Consider the following 17,023-nt stretch of genomic DNA (forward strand, 5'->3'; position numbering starts at 1 on the left):
CACACAGGGGTTCTCAGAGCAACTGTCAGGGCAGAATCCTGGGTTGGATCCCCCACTGGCTGTTTTCTCCTTACTGGAATTAGAACTATGTCCAAAGCCAATCTAACAGTACCTGCACTCACCTGACTCATACTGTAGGAGCTTTTTGTCATAACATACCAAGTGCCCTACTGAGCTTCTACATGGGGCATGCACACTCCCATGGCATGGTGTTTCTGAGGGGGGATAATTTACCAGGTGGAAGAATCTCATGTTTGATCGGGAAACTGTAGGCTTCAGGCAGCCCAGAAGGTAAGTGTATGGAATGTAAAGAAAAAGGCCCTGTACTTCCCTCTGAAATTGGGAAATGGGGGAAGAAACAGGCATCTGTTGTCACCCTAATGACATCAGAATATAGCTTGCAGCTTCCTGCCTTCATGGCAGCAGTTTTCTAAGACAGTGAATCCCCCAACATTGTTATTATTAGTAGTACTTAGGCACTGGTATTAGTGCTAGTACTGGTATGGCTAGTGCTAAGAATCAGTACTTGGGTACTGCTGTTAATATTTAGATACTGAAAAAAGTTCGAGTACATTCATAGTTGGCCCTCTGTAAGTCATTCTCTCCTGCACTTTTATAAGCTTTGTTGAGTGTGAGACAAAGAGTTGTGGTATTACTAGGACAAGGGAGTTGCAAATAATCCAAGCTTTGAGCTCTGTGATCATCCTCTGTCATGGGGTTGTGGGAGAAGCAAGGCTAAAACCCACTGTGGCATGAGACCCTTTGCACACTACAGCCTCTCCTTCTGCCATATAAGCTAAGAGTTGGGGCCCAGGTGTAGACTGTATCTTTTGAAGCTCTTGAGTCTGTCTTAGTAGATCAGTCTTACAGTGAATACAGTGAAGCAGTATTCTTATGATAGTCTTTTCTTGCCGTGGCTTTATTTCTTCTGTTAGGAGTAATTGATGATATATTAGCTACTTTTCCAGATGTGTGATTTGGCAGTGGTTGACTGGCAGCTGATAGTAACTCAGGAATCTAAAGAAAAGTCCACTTTGGCTTTCAGAGTTACATAAAGGATCTCTGCCTTCCTCTCTTCCAGTAGTTGGCAGCCTTCCAATTAATAAATAGGAGAGAAAACTCACCTAGAGAATCCTGTTGTGAGCTGGGCACGGTGGCTCATGCCTGTAATCCCAGCACTTTGGGAGATTGAGGCAGGTGGATCACCTGAGGTCAGGAGTTCAAGACCAGCCTGGCCAGCAGGGCAAAACCCCGTCTCTACAAAAAATACAAAAATTAGCTAGGCGTGTTCATGTATGCCTATAATCCCAGCTACTCAGGAGGCTGAGGCAGGAGAATCACATGAATCCAGGAGGGGGACGTTGCAGCGAGCCAGGATTGCACCACTGCACTCTAGCCTGGGCAACAGAGTGAGACTCCATCTTACAGAAAAAAAAAAAAAGAGAGAGAGAGAGAATCCTATTGTGAAGCCTGGGAGTGGACTTTGCATGGGATGCGTCATACTTACAGTACTCCACAGTATTTTATCACGATAAATAACATGGGAGAGTGAATTCTACGAGGCTGAAGATTCTGTATGGTATACCCAAGGAAATGAATAAAACATCACAGCAGCACCAGAATGTGGAATGAATCTTTCCAGTGGTGGGACTGTGGGATCCCACTAGAGAATACTCAGCTTATCATTCCAATACAGGCTCTTCTTACAAACTAGCAGCATTATTTGTTTCCCACTGAAGAATCAGGAGTGTTACAGAGAACAGCACAGTGCAATTTGTCTTCAGAGAGTTTCCTTCATTCAAGTGGTTAGAAAATATTTCTCAAAATAATTTGTCCTGAGTCAGAGCTGACATCTTACTATGGAAAAATGCGCATTTGAGGGACCTGGTGCCGCTCATACCTGGAAGACTCTGTGTTTTAAACTTTTAGTAATTAATCTGCTCACTTTTGGTGAGCTAGAACTAGAACTCAGCCAGCTAAGTATTTATTAAGTGCCTATTTTGCTCCCATCATAATTAGGTAGGTCATAGGCATATATTTTTAAAAATTAAGATGCCATCAAGGCTCAATGCATTATTTTTTTTTTTGAATGCACATTTTCTTATTTATTTATGAAATAGTTGTGAATTATCTCTATATTAACCTTACCTATGTGTTTTTTTTTTAATTATACTTTAAGTTTTAGGGTACATGTGCACATTGTGCAGGTTAGTTACATATGTATACATGTGCCATGCTGGTGCGCTGCACCCACTAACTCGTCATCTAGCATTAGGTATATCTCCCAAAGCTATCCCTCCCCCCTCCCCCCACCCCACAACAGTCCCCAGAGTGTGATATTCCCCTTCCTGTGTCCATGTGATCTCATTGTTCAATTCCCACCTATGAGTGAGAATATGCGGTGTTTGGTTTTTTGTTCTTGTGATAGTTTACTGAGAATGATGATTTCCAATTTCATCCATGTCCCTACAAAGGACATGAACTCATCATTTTTATGGCTGCATAGTATTCCATGGTGTATATGTGCCACATTTTCTTAATCCAGTCTATCATTGTTGGACATTTGGGTTGGTTCCAAGTCTTTGCTATTGTGAATAATACCGCAATAAACATACATGTGCATGTGTCTTTATAGCGGCATGATTTATAGTCCTTTGGGTATATACCCAGTAATGGGATGGCTGGGTCAAATGGTATTTCTAGTTGTAGATCCCTGAGGAATCGCCACACTGACTTCCACAACGGTTGAACTAGTTTACAGTCCCACCAACAGTGTAAAAGTGTTCCTATTTCTCCACATCCTCTCCAGCACCTGTTGTTTCCTGGCTTTTTAATGATTGCCATTCTAACTGGTGTGAGATGGTATCTCATTGTGGTTTTGATTTGCATTTCTCTGATGGCCAGTGATGATGAGCATTTTTTCATGTGTTTTTTGGCTGCATAAATGTCTTCTTTTGAGAAGTGTCTGTTCATGTCCTTCGCCCACTTTTTGATGGGGTTGTTTGTTTTTTTCTTGTAAATTTGTTTGAGTTCATTGTAGATTCTGGATATTAGCCCTTTGTCAGATGAGTAGGTTGCGAAAATTTTCTCCCATTTTGTAGGTTGCCTGTTCACTCTGATGGTAGTTTCTTTTTCAATGCATTATTTACAGGCAATAAATCTTACCAGAATACGAGGCACCTGCCTTGGCAGTTATCTTTCAAAGACTATGAAAGCCTCCATCTCCACAGAGACCCCTTGGAGTATTTTGGAGAAAGGGAGATGCCTCCCTGAGCCTATCTATTAGCTCTTTACACCAGAGCCTTGCACCCACCTGCCGAGTTTTGTGTCATTATTAGGAAATAGTTTGGTTTCTGGCCATCTTAGAAAAAAGGAAAATTCCTTGTCTCATGGTTCTTTGAACTGTAGTTTAAAATTGTATGTGTGCCTGTTACTGCCTTTGTATCTGATTTATTTCCAACATTACTAGTTTATGTGTTTGTCCAGAATTGTAGGCAACCTGTGGGAGAGTTAACATTGTTTTCTCACTACCCAGAATACTGCCATCTGCCAGTGAGATCTAATAAGTCCTGGGATTTGGGTAAAACAAGATAAAGAAACTTATTCCATCTTCGAAGTAAATCTGAATTGCCCTGTAAAATATCTAAAGGTCTTTAACTTTCCTTCTCATTATGTACTTCCTAATATTCTTTTTCCTCTTTATTTTTTTCTTTCTCACGTTTTGATTCTCTATATTCCACTATTCTCCTTTCCCTTCTTTTCTTGTTCCTAATTTCTTTTCTCTTTTTTGATAATAAGTAAGAAATGCCATATAATGGTCAAAACATACCCATTCATTAATTTTAAAAATTTCTTTTTTTCTCTTGTTCCATCACTGGTATCTAATAAAACATTTCTTAATACTAGCTGGCAATATAATAACTAATGTTTTTGCTGGACATTCTACTAGGTGCTTTATATACCATATCTAATTTATTCCTTACAAGTCAATAAGCTGTGTATTATTATCACTCCTATTTTACAAACAAGAGAGCAGAAACTTAACAGATTATGGAACTTGCCCAAAGTCTCCTAGCTAGTAAGAGAATTGAGACTTAGGACAAATGTCTACCTCCAGAGCTCAAATGCCTTGCAAAGAATGAGCTCTCAATCTAGTAGTGTTCCCAAGACACACTTTTGAAATGCAGCAAAATGGTTAAGAGCATGGTACTTGGAATTAGACAGACTTGGTTTGAATCTCAGCACTGCCAGGGATTAACTGTGTAACAACGGGCAAATCATCTCAGCTCTCTGAGCTTCCATTTTCTATCTGTAAAACGTGGAAAATAATACCTCACAGAGTGGTCGTGAGGTATTACATGTAAAACTTTAAGCCTGGCACATGGCCTAAGTTTAATACAGTATACTAATATTACTATCTATGGAAAAAATAGTATTTGTTCCCCTTGCAACCAACTTCATTTAATTACAAGCATATTTCGAAATAACTGTTCTCAGTAACCACTGGGAATTTTTCCTTGATCTAAAGATTCCTTGAATCCATTCATGTCTTTATCCTACACAGCTGCTGGCAGTTAGTAACAAGTTCTGGAATTTCCCATGTGATGTATGAAGGAGCGCAATATAGTGCTTCCATTTAATGGTTCCAGAATAGTCTTCTTCCATCTTTTACTTAATACCCTGATGGCATATAAATACTTTGGATATTTGGTCTAGGAAGGGAAGCCCTGAAAAACTGATAGAGAGGAATAGAGTATGCCTTGACCGCCTGAGTCTTCTGGTCTCAGCGCCTGCCTGGTCAAGTGTGTAGACATCAGGCTGAGAGTCGAGAGGCCTGGTTTCTTCACTCATTTGGCATCTAACCTTGTTCAGTTAGCTTAACTTTTCTGGTCTCACGTAGAAATCAAATAGTGGCTTCACTGTCACTTCCAGCTCCTTGAAATTGATATTTGAAAGGCACTCAAAAAATATCAGGTGATGCGATTCAGCAGAGACGTGTCTGGTGTGTGCAGATTTTATTTCCTTTAGCCCAGGCCAGAATTTTATATTGAAAGTGAAGCATATATGAAAAGTAAAGCATAATACTTTCTTAAAGTTCTACCCCAAATTATGAGTATTTAGGTTATACTCAAAACCAAGTTCAGTGGCCACTAAGGCTCATGTTTAATGAAGCGTTCTTTTTTCCTTAATTGAGAAGTGGAAGATTTTGTGAAACTCTGGTAGAATTTTGGTACTTGAGAAGCAAAATGATCAAAGCCAAAGTTGAGATCTCAGCAGTATGAACATCGGCTCTGGCTTTGGCAATGTCAGAGAGCTTATTTAATCGCTCTGGCAGCTCTCAGCTTGTTTTTGCATACAATGCTTTTGCTTCATTTAGGCAGAGTGACTGCCACATATGCAATGGAGTGTAGATAAATCATTGTTGACTCTTGCATCTAAATGCCTAACTTACTGGGAAATGTGGCCATTTTTCTTGATCAGTATTTCTCAAATATTTTTTACTTCATCCAGAGCAAGAAATATGTTTTATATCAGAACATATGTATGCATAAAGTTGTGTATATATACGCATATAAACTGCAAACAGAATTATCAAGAAGTAGTGCCAACATTATGTTATATTTTACTCTATTATCTTCTTTTCTATTATACTTAGTGTTACTAAGCAATTTTGGTCATGACCCACTAAATTGATTGCAAGGTTCACTAAATGGGCTATCACCCACTATTTGAAGAACACCGGCCTTAAGATTCCTCTTAGTCCAAAAAACTGCTTTACTTATCTGGGCTTTACATACCCTCAAGGAAAAACTTCACACACTCTTCCAGTTCACTCCCACTACACACACATACCACCATCACAACCATCTCTAACACCACCAAACTCTTTGAACGCCTAGGTACACATAACTCCATCGGCTGCTACCAGGGATTTTTTTTTCCCCTAACAGGCTCCATCTTCTTACATGAGGCCAGAATTAGGAAAACTGTGAATTGTGAAAAGCAGCATACTCTCCTCCTAACTTTCTGTGGGTTCACTGGCATCAGGAACTCAAGAATTTCTGTGCTGTGCCAGTGCCAGCTCAAGGCTATAGTATTGACTGTAGGACTGCAGTAAATACTCATTGGCTAGCCATAGTCCCAGATCTGTACTGAATAGAGTGGAAACAGGGATCTTGTGAAGGTAGCATTGAATAGCACTGGTGATCCATAGATAGGCTGAGTTTAGCATGCAGGATATAAAGTTACAGGATTATTGAAGCAGGAGTCCAGGCAGAGTGCATATTCCTCAATACACACAACACCAAGAAAAGCAAACAGACAAACACAGGTTAGCACAGTCTGGATATACTGGGGCAGAATTGGTCAGTGACTGAAGCTGTCTCTTTGCATCATTGGCTCATAAGTCCAAGGCTGTCTGAGGCATGACTTTGCCCCTAAGAGTAGAACCTCAGGACTTAAAAGGAACCCTGAGCGGTTCGTGTAATTCCCTGATGTCTTAGAAGTGTGTCTGAAGGCAGGTTCACATATTTTGTGCAGCTTTGAGGTTCACATGTTAGTCACTCTTCTCAGAAAACCTCACTGGGCCTGACCCCAGGGTAGCAGTGGGATGACAGGGGTTGGGGATTCGGGTTATAGGACTGTGACCTATTCATTCTCCATGAGCATGTTCTTCCCTAGGAGTAGAGACCTGCATCCTGATGTAAAGAGGAGACATGAAACGACTTGGCTCTCTTTTAGCAACTTACAGACCATACTCTGGCCTCTCCCAGGCCCTGAAGGTCATTTATTTTGCAAAATAAGCCACAGTAATAACACCACTAGCAAAATTTGGCAAACAGACCAGGAATGGAGAAAATATAATGCATATAATTAATAGGTAATTGATAACGTTATAAGTTTTATGAGCCAGATATGTTCTAAACTTCCTTAGTTTTTCAAAGAAACAGTTCGTAGAATTTATATCTAGGAGGGACCCTCGATAGTTCAGTCACCTCATTTTGCAGATGTGGGAACTGAGGTCCTAAGAAGCTAGAAAATGGCAGAGGTGGCCAAGCCCAGATCTTTAAGACTCCAGGGTTTGTTTCCCCACGCCTCATAGTCTCTTCAAGTAAAAAGGATTTCTCCTCATTGCTAAGAAATAGTACACAAAAATGTCATCGTTTGAGCCACTGTTCATGGACTCAGCCATGTTAAAAGCAAAAAACAAAACAACAAAGCAAAACCAAAAAACACAGCAATAGTTTCCCAAAGGGGCTGCATTTAGGTCATAGAAATTTGAACCATAATATGTGTGCTTCAGATTTCCTGAGATTTCTTGATGCCAGCTGTGGGGCTCCTGTGGCTGTCTTTGAGGACTTTGGACAGTGAAGGGTTGCATAGCTAACACGTGCATTTCTAAGTCACCTGTCACCATAGAGCCCAAATTATATCACAAAAGCAGTTTCCAACCATAAAAGGACAGAGGACAGCTCTGGGTTTTTTTCCTTTACTCCTACATCACATGAGTCAGTGGTCACTATTCAAAGAGGCAATACATCAAGATATGGGTGGAAACTTCAATCATTGACCCTTCGAATCTCAGAATTGGAAGGTCATCTGTTCCACCAGTATCTGGTGCATGAGTTAATTGAAAGATTCTGCAGAACATGTAGCAATTGTTATCTCTTTTGTCTCCCCAGAATAGGACCATGCCAGCGGGAATCTATTACTGGTCTGAGCTATTGTCTAAGATTTAGTCTGGGAAAGAGGAATGTGGTTAGAGGACAGTGACTGTCACAGGGCTGTTTCATCTACATGTAGTGCTCTCCAATGAGAGCAGAATAAGAAGCCAAAAGACATAAACTGTGTCAGTGCAACGGAGTAAGTCTAAGATCAAGGAAGAATAGCCAGACAGGACTGTCCCACCCAGTCTGGAATCCTGAGACAGACTATAGAATTTCATTAAAAATCTTTTAAAGCAGAGTTTTGTGGGGGTTTTTTTTTTTTTCTGTTCTCAGGTATCATATCAGTGTAGCACTATTCACAGATCGGCACAAAGGACAAGGCGACTTCTTATTATTTTCCTCAACCATGTGAACACTAAGGTTTTCATTCTGCTACCTCTTGGGTTTGTACTTCATGGATCTCATCTATTCAATAAGCAATCAAGCACTTTGCAATGGGTCCAGGGAAGGTTAGTGTCACTTTGACCCTGGCCCACTTCCCACTGGCACCATCTAGAACCCCTGCTAAACTTGTCAAGAACTGATACTCACATAGTAAAACTAGTGACTTCTGCCCTACATCTCTAAGAGCTTTTACATACTCCAGCATGGTTTGAGAATTTGACTTTAAACTCACCTTTTATCCAGCAGGAACTATTACTGAACCTGCCCCTAGCTTTAAAAAAAAAAAGATCAGCTGGCCGCGGTGGCTCACGCCTGTAATCCCAGCACTTTGGGAGGCTGAGGTGGGCGGATCATGAGGTCAGGATTTTTGAGACCAGCCTGGCCAACATGGTGAAACCCCATCTCTACTAAAAATACAAAAAAATAATAATAATAACTAGGAGTAGTGGCAGGCACCTATAGTCCCAGCTACTCGGGAGACTGAGGCAGGCAAATCACTTGAACCCAGGAGGCAGAAGTTGCAGTGAGCCAAGATTGTGCCACTGCACTCCAGCCTAAGTGACAGAGTGAGACTCCATCTCAAAAAAAAAAAAAAAAAAAAACTAAAAATTGGCCAATGAAATCATTTTGAAATCTATAACTAAACAGTTATTTAATTAACCTGTATTGAGTCTCTGTGTTATCAATAATTACTACAATTTTTCTCATGATTTCTAGCTGTCTAACTGATTAGCCCATTTGCAGTTAAACCAGTGGTAGCCACAAAAGTTACTAAATGTCCTCTCCTCAACAATCCTCAATAAACACTCTTTTCTTCAGGGCTCATTTCTGGTTTATCAGCACCATTCTGCTCTCAATTTAATGAAGGCACTAATGTAAAGACATAGAAACCTTGAAATTTTTAACAGTTCATGGTTCAAAGAGTACCAAATGGAGACACTGACTCTTTAAAAAAAAAAAATCAGTTAGCTTGTTTTTAAAAGAAATCAGTGTCACTGCAATAACATCACAGAGGCCACAAACTTGCAAACATGACTCCTGGACCTGCTGAGAAGAAAGTAACAATTACATATTGGTAAGACCTGTACTGGCCAAAAGATGAGAAATAAATCCCACTAAATTTTACGGGCCATCCATGTCAGTGAAATTTCTAGGGGTCTAGGGCTGTGAGGCATGTTGAGATGTCCCTTCTAAGGTGAAAGATAAGTTGTTGCATCTGACCTCTCCTTTTAACCAGAAAAAAAGCATCATGTCTGGTGGCTTTTCTTTGGATTTTGGAGGCAACGTATTTCTCATTTGTGTGTGTTACTTTGGCCCATTTACCTTGTAACCAAAAAGCTGCTCATTTTGAATAGGGCCCAGGACAAGAGAATGTTCTGCAACAGGTCCAGACTGCTGTTCAAGTTGCTCTGCCATTTGGGCCATATGACCCAGCAAATCCAATGTTGCTTGAAGGGTCCTGGCTGATAGGGATGCTGTTTGGAGTACTTGGCTGGCCCCTATAGGTGATTCACAGCTCACACACTTAGAATTTTGGAGCAAAACTCTGCCATCCTCTGTAGAGAACTACTGATATGGTTTGGCTATGTCCCTACCCAAATCTCATCTTGAATTGTAGCACCCATAATTCCGACATGTTGTGGGAGGGACCCATTGGAAGATAATTGAATCATGGAGGTGGGTCTTTCCCATGCTGTTCTTGTGATAGTAAATAAGTCTCAAGAGGTCAGATGGTTTTATAAAAGGGAGTTTCCCTGCACAAGCTCTCTTCTCTTGTCGGCCACCATGTGAGATCTGCCTTTCACCTTCTGCCATGATTGTGAGGCCTCCCCAGCCCCATGGAACTGTAGTCCATTAAACCTCTTTCTTTTGTAAATTGCCCAGTCTTGTGTATGTCTTTATCAGCAACATGAAAACGAACTAATACAACTACTCTCCTTTTAAGAAACAACTTTGGCCTAGTTATGAATATTAATAGAAACTGAATGCTTAACCATGGGCCACCAAGTTTCCATGAAGCCTGAGCTGCCTACTGTGAACTGGGCATTGTCTGAGCCACTACACCATGAAGTTAGGAAGGTACAGCAGTACTCCATCATCAAATGGAAGTGGTGTATACATGAGATCTGGCTTGAGCAGGCCCCGAGGGCACATTTAAGCTGAATAGGAAGTGGCCCAAATGCCCATGGTCCTCATTCTTGCTACATTATCTTCTTTCTCTCAGCCCATATCTGTGGAATGTAAACCAAAAATAAAATTCTAAGTCCCCCAACAGATTGAATGGACCCCTACTTGGCCAAGGGCATTCCAAAGTAAACCTGAAAAACTAGTTCAGGCCATTATGGGAAGGGAGTGGGGGTCAGTCATACCTCATTATACCTTTCTCCCTTTGGAATTCAGGCACAACTGACCAGCGTTAACATTAAAACAGAGATCTTAAGACTGATGGAACAGACTCTTTGAGGCAATAAGATACATTACAAAATAACAGGTAGCAGGCTCTGAAAGAAATGGAAGTATTTTACCCTGCAGTATATTTTGATGTTCTTTTTTTTTTTTTTTTTTTTGAGATGAAGTCTCACTATGTCACCCAGTCTGGAGTGCAGTGGTGCGATCTCGGCTCACTGCAACCTCCACCTCCTGGGTTAAAGCAATTCTCATGTTTCAGCCTCCCAAGTAGCTGGGATTACAGGTGCCCACCACCATGCCTGGCTAATTCTTATATTTTTAGTAGAAATGAGGTTTTGCCATACTGGCCAGGCTGGTCTCAAATTCCTGACCTCAGGTGATCCACCTGCCTTGGCCTCCTAAAGTGCTGGGATTACAGGCGTGAGCCACCGTGCCTGGCCTTGATGCATTTTTTAATGGCCCTGTGGGCTGGGTGCAGTGGCTAACACCTGTAGTCAGTACTTTGTGAGGCTGAGGCAGGAGGATTGCTTGCACCCAAGAGTTTGAGACCAGCCTGGGCAGCATAATGAGAACTTGTCTCTACAGAAAAAAAAAAAAAAAAAAATTAGCTGGGCTTGGTGGCACACACCTCTAGTCCCAGCTACTCCAGAGGCTGAGGTGAGAGAATTGCTTGAGCTCAGGAGGTCAAGGTTGCAGTAAGCTGTGATTGTGCTGCCACATTCATAAAGTGTAAAGCCCTGCAAAACTGTCTCTTGTGGGGGCAACATAGTAGATCTTCCAGGTCTTTTTCTGATTCTGGAGAGATTAACTAAGAGTCTGGTACCTTTTTAAGTCTGATAAGAAACATTGGCCGGCCATGGTGGCTCACGCCTGTAATCCCACCACTTTGGAAGGCCAAGGCAGGCAGATCACAAGGTCAAGAGATTGAGACCATCCTGGCCAACATGGTGAAACCCCGTCTCTACTTAAAATACAAAAATTAGCCGGGCATGGTGGCGCGTGCCTGTAGTCCTAGCTACTTGGGAGGCTGAGGCATGAGAATCGCTTGAACCCGGGAGGCAGAGGTGGCAGTGAGCCTAGATCGCACCACTGCACTCCAGCCTGGCGACAGAGTGAGACTCCATCTCAGAAAAAAAAACAAAAAAAAAAAAGAAAAAAGAAAAGAAACATTTACCATTTAGTCTATGAGGAGGTTTCATCTGCATAAGAAGAAACTTGGCCTCTACAACTCCTTATCTTAACTCAGACATTCCTTTCTATTGATTCCAAGACTTTAGATAATAACTTAACTCTTTCAACTAATTGCCAGTCAGAAAATCTTTGAATCCACCTATGACCTGAAGGCACCTCCCCACTTTGAGTTGTCTGCCTTTCCAGACCAAACCAATGTGCACTTTTAATGTATTGATTGATGTCTGCTTGTAACTTCTAAAATGTATAAAATCAAGCTGTAACCCAACCAGCTTGGCCACATGTTCTCAGCACCTCCTGAGGCTTTGTCATGAGCATGTTCTTAACCTTGGCAAAATAAACTTCTAAATTGATTGAGACTTGTCTCAGATACTTTTTGGTTTGCAGGCCTTGTGGGGAGTTCCCTATGTCTAGTTGACTGAGGGAGAGAAAACTCAGGCCTGTTTAAAGTTGGTTCTGCACAATAATGCAGGCACCACCCAAAAGCAATAATGCTGTAGCCCCATTCTGAGACAGCCCTGAAGGACAGTGGTGAAGGGAAATCCCCCCAGTGGGTAGAGCTTTGAGCAGTGTATCTGATTGTTCATTTTGCTTGGAAGGAAAAATGACCAGAGGTCAAGTCTATACCAATTCATAGACTGGGTAGTCAGAGATTTGGAAGGAATACAATTGGAAAATTGTGACAGAAAGGTCTTTGGGAAGAGGTATGTGGATAGATCTCTCTGAATGGGCAAAGAATTTTAAGATATTTGTGTCCCATATAATGTTCACCAAAATATTACCCAACCATATATGCTCTAAAGTCTGAATCCAGTATATGGCACTCTTTCTCTCATAGTCAGGATTCATGGGTCTGTAACTAAAATGCAGATTCAGTCGCTCACACTCTTGTTCAATTAACAAGAGCGAGTCTGGTATAAAGAAAGTGACTTTATTCCAAAGCTTAGCTTAGGGGAAGAGACACAAGCTCCTGCCTTTAAGGGTACTGCTTCACTTTTGGGGCAAAAAGCAGGGGCTTTTAAAGTGGGACTTGGCATGAATGGCATGCAGGGGAGGGAGCAAGCAGATGTGAGGTCTGCATGACTCACTTCATCTACCGGATGGTCAAGCTGGCACCATTGTGGGCAGAGCTAGGTTGTAAGGGGGCTGTTGCCTTGAGATCCTCTCTAGGTGGGAGAGAATTCTGTTGAGGGCACACTTCAGGTTGTAAATTGACGGTTGTCTCTTGAGGCCATCTCCTGGTGGGAGAGTTCCAATTCTGGAGTTTCTAAGTAAGCGCATAGATAAGCTTGCCCTGTAGGGAGTGCCTGGTGAGGGGAAGGTAAAGGTTATAACTCATTTCTAAAGCACTAAGTAGGAGGTGGGGAACAGGGGGAAAGGAGGAAAAAGAAAAGAAGTTATTTAAAAACATAACTCATTCTCTTTCTCTTAGAAAAATGGAGTACTTGGTTACAGGTCCAGGAATCAAGGGGTAGAAATAAGAGTGGCTCCCTTTACTATCACTCCAGTGATCCACTGTGAAAATTGTTGTTTTCCATCCTTAGAGACTTAGTTCCAAAGGGAGGGACAGTGATTCCATTGAATTGGAAGCTGAGACAGTCATCCGACCCCTGTGGCTCCTGCCTCTCAATCAACAGGCAAAGCAGGGGGTTGCTGGACTGGCTGGGGTGATTGGTCCTGATTACTAAGGGTAAGCTGCTGCTGTACAATGGAAGTGAGGTAGAGCATGTCTAGAATACAGGAGATCCCTCAGGGCCTTTTAGCACTCCTAAGTCCTGTGATAAAATGCAATGGAAAACCATAACAATCAGAACCCAATTGAGGATGACTAATGGCCCAGATTCCTCAGAGATGCAGGTTTCAGTCTTCCCACCAAGCAAAGAATCACAAGCAACCGAGGTTTTTGTGGAAGGATAGGGAATATAGAATGGTTAGCAGAGGAAGATAGCTATAAGGATCTGCCATGACCACATGACTGGTTGCAGAAGCAAGGACTCTGATAGTTATGAGTGTTTCTTCCTTATTTTGTTATGAATGTGTTTGCATATATATTAACCCAACATTTTTGTTTTCTTCCCTTTGTTATCCACTTATCATCTAACATAAGATACGATAATGATAGTTAACTTTCTCTCTCCGTATTTAAGTTGCAGAATATCAGAGAAGTGTGAACGCCACCCAGGGACTTTGCATCCTCTTCTGGGGGAACGGGTTAGTGTGATTTCAGATGTAGGTGGGATACTTGTATCTTGTTAGTGAAAGGATGACTTTCTTATTGACTTTATTAAAAACTTGGAGATTAAGTATCGTTTAAGGACATGTGTATAGATGCCAAGTTGACAAAGGGTGGAGTGTGATGATCTTTTCGATGTGTCAACTTGGCTAGGATATAGTCCCCAGTTATTTAATGAAACTGTAATGTTGTTTAATTGAGCTCTTGTGAATGTATTTTATAGGTGTAATGAAAGTCCACAGTCAGTTGACTTTAAGTAAGGGAGATTACTTGAGATAATCTGGGTGGGCCTGATTCAATACATTGAAAGATTTTAAAAGCAGAGCAGAGGCTTTCCTGAGAGAATACATTCCGCCTTTGGACAGCAGCTTCAGTCCATGGCTGTGAATCCAGCCTATTCTTCCTGATAATTTTGCCCTATGGATGTCAGACTTGCCTAGCCTGGCCTTGGTATGAGCCAACTCCTTGCAATATATCATCTGTCTGTCTGTCTTTCTGTCTATCTGTCTGTCTGTGTATCCATCCATCCATCCATCCATCCATCCATCCATCCATCCGTCCATCCATCCCTCTCTCCCTCTCTACTTCCTGCTGGTTCTGTTTCTCTGAAACCCCTCAGATGTCCTTGAAAGTTTTGTCCATCAGTGTAGCCAGCAGGGTCCAGCACTGATCCTACAGGTGTTGGGTGTTCAATACTATGTGTAGAACTGACATGATTTTAATGTGTTCAGCCTTTGTGTAGGGGTATCCTTTGCTGAGGTAGTTAGGTACCACACTGATGCTGCAAGGCGAAGTAGCAGGCAGCTCCCCTGCCAGTATTTTCCACCCAAAGTCAGTCATTGATTCACGGCACCCTCTGAAACTCAAGCGGTGGCGGAAACCGGCAGTGGAAGGAAACACAACCCACACATCTTCTAGCATGTGGGAGAAATGTGGCCAAACACTGAGGCTTCACATTAAAAATATCTCCGCCTCTGTTACTGCTTCTTCTTCTTCTTTTTTTTTTTTTTGAGACAGAGTCACTCTCTGTCACCCAGGCTGGAGTGCAATGGTGCAATCTCAGCAACCTCTGCCTCCTGGGTTCAAGTGACTCTCCTGCCTCAGCCTCCCCAGTAGCTTGGATTACAGGTGCCCACCACCACGCCCAGCTAATTTTTGTGTTTTTATAGAAATGGGGTTTTACTATGTTGGCCAGGCTGGTCTTGATCTCCTCACCTCAAGTGATCTGCCTACCTCAGCCTCCCAAAGTGCTAGAATTACAGGCATGAGCCACCACACCTGGCCCTCTGTTACTGTTTCTCAATATTATTTTATTTCTCCTGTGAACTGTGAAACATATATAAAAGGAGGTTGTAACAGACCAGTGGAAAAAAACTAGAAAAACTAAAAATTGATATGGTTTTGAGAGGTGGGGGAGGAGAGGATAAGAAACAGCCAAAGAGTTGTGATTTTTATTGATAAGTCCTTGCCTAGACCTAGGTTAAGTAGAAACCTATTTCAGGAGATTCTATTTAGGTGCATATAGTCAGCTCTGCTATAAAGCCATATATGCATTGCTAAAAATCCACATACTTTGCAAAATCATGAAATGAAAACCACAGGGATTATGGGGAAATGGGGAATATAGCATTATACCCAAAAGAGTCACCGTACTAAAAAGAGTCACATACTAAAAAGGATAGAAACCTAATGAAAAATGTAGCTCAGTTTTGTACACGTCAGATGGTTAAGAAATACATCAATACAATAAATATGACACTTTGCCTTGAAAAAGTCCTGAAAAAATTTGCCTGTGGACTTGGATGTCGGAGGGGTTGCAGCTTGTGCAATATTGTGAGGTGATGGAAGGAGAGTCATCTGAAATTGGACGGAAACCTGTAACACTGCGTGTTGATGGGCATAGGCATATTTCATAGTCACTGGATACCTCAGCGATCTGAAGTATCCAGAAGGTCTTTGGGGTTATGTATGTATGTGTTTTGTCTTATTTCTACACACTTCGGTTCAGCTGGGTGCGGTGTTCTACATTCTCCTAGTGTAAGCTTGTTCAACCTGTGGCCTAGAGGCCACATGCAGCCCAGAATGGCTTTGAGTGCAGCCAGCCCCACACAAATTCATAAACTTTCTTAAAACATTATGAGATTTTTTTGTGATTTTTTTTTATAGCTTATCAGCTATCATTAGTGTAAGTGTATTTTATGTGTGGCCCAAGGCAGTTCTTCTTCCAGTGTGGCCCAGGGAAACCAAAAGATTGGACACTCCTGACCTACTGTTTCTCACAGGGTGAGATAACATATACCAATCACGTTGAAACAAATTTGCACTTTCAGAACAAGGGTGATTGCAGGACTGACTGTAGAGCATTAAGAGATCACTGTCCTTTATCTGTACTTTCAAAATCCCAAAAGTTCTTTGTAAGTTTAGCACAAATTCATTTGTTAGCAAAGCTTAATGTGAATACTGATGTTTTCCTAAAATATTGCACTTCGATTATTAAAGTGCTGTCACAGACCCCATGAGGGTCTGAATATACCTGTATAGAGTTGTAAAAATTCTGATTTCCAAAACACAGCTGGCCCTAAGGGAAGAGGGAATGGTAGGTCTATGTTGTTGAGCATCTGGTTTGTGTCAGGCATCACGATGGGTGTTGCAGATGCAGAGACACACAAGGCACAGTCCCTGGGAGACCCAGGGAACTTGAAGTCTAGAAGGGGCTACCACACTCTTTGTGCTGTTGTAGTAGATGTCTGTACTATGCACAAGCAGAGAACAGAAGAAGGAGTCATTCTTTCTAGCCAAAGTGTTCAAGGCAGGCTTTCTAGAGAATGTGACACCTGGATTGTGTTTGCGGGGAGTGGTTAGGAGTTCTCTAGGCAAAGGAGAAAGTCATTCCAGGTAGAAGAAAATGTGTAAAGGTGTGAAGGCACAGTTACAAAACAGCAGGTCCAAGGTGATCTCTTAAATGTCACACAACTATAACATGGTGTATTAGTTTGTGAGGGCTGCCATAACAAAGTACCACAGACTAGGTGGCTTAAACAATACAAATTTATATATTTGTAGTTCTGGAGGCAAAAGT

The 17,023-nt window shown here is 41.7% G+C and overlaps 1 protein-coding gene across 9 annotated transcripts in view; it reads left to right on the plus strand.

The window, feature by feature from the left end:
- Positions 1-17,023, plus strand: part of CRACD (capping protein inhibiting regulator of actin dynamics) — a 281,512-nt gene that overhangs the window by 197,324 nt on the left and 67,165 nt on the right. The window contains exon 1 of one of the 9 annotated variants that reach the window (XM_005265752.3): positions 82-291. The exons of the other annotated variants lie outside the window; for them this stretch is intronic. The gene's annotated coding sequence lies outside the window, so the exon portion shown is untranslated. Of the gene's footprint in view, positions 1-81; positions 292-17,023 lie in introns of those variants that run through there. 9 annotated transcript variants of the gene reach the window in all.

Source organism: Homo sapiens, chromosome 4 (assembly GCF_000001405.40).
Source record: "Homo sapiens chromosome 4, GRCh38.p14 Primary Assembly".
Taxonomy (NCBI): domain Eukaryota; kingdom Metazoa; phylum Chordata; class Mammalia; order Primates; family Hominidae; genus Homo; species Homo sapiens.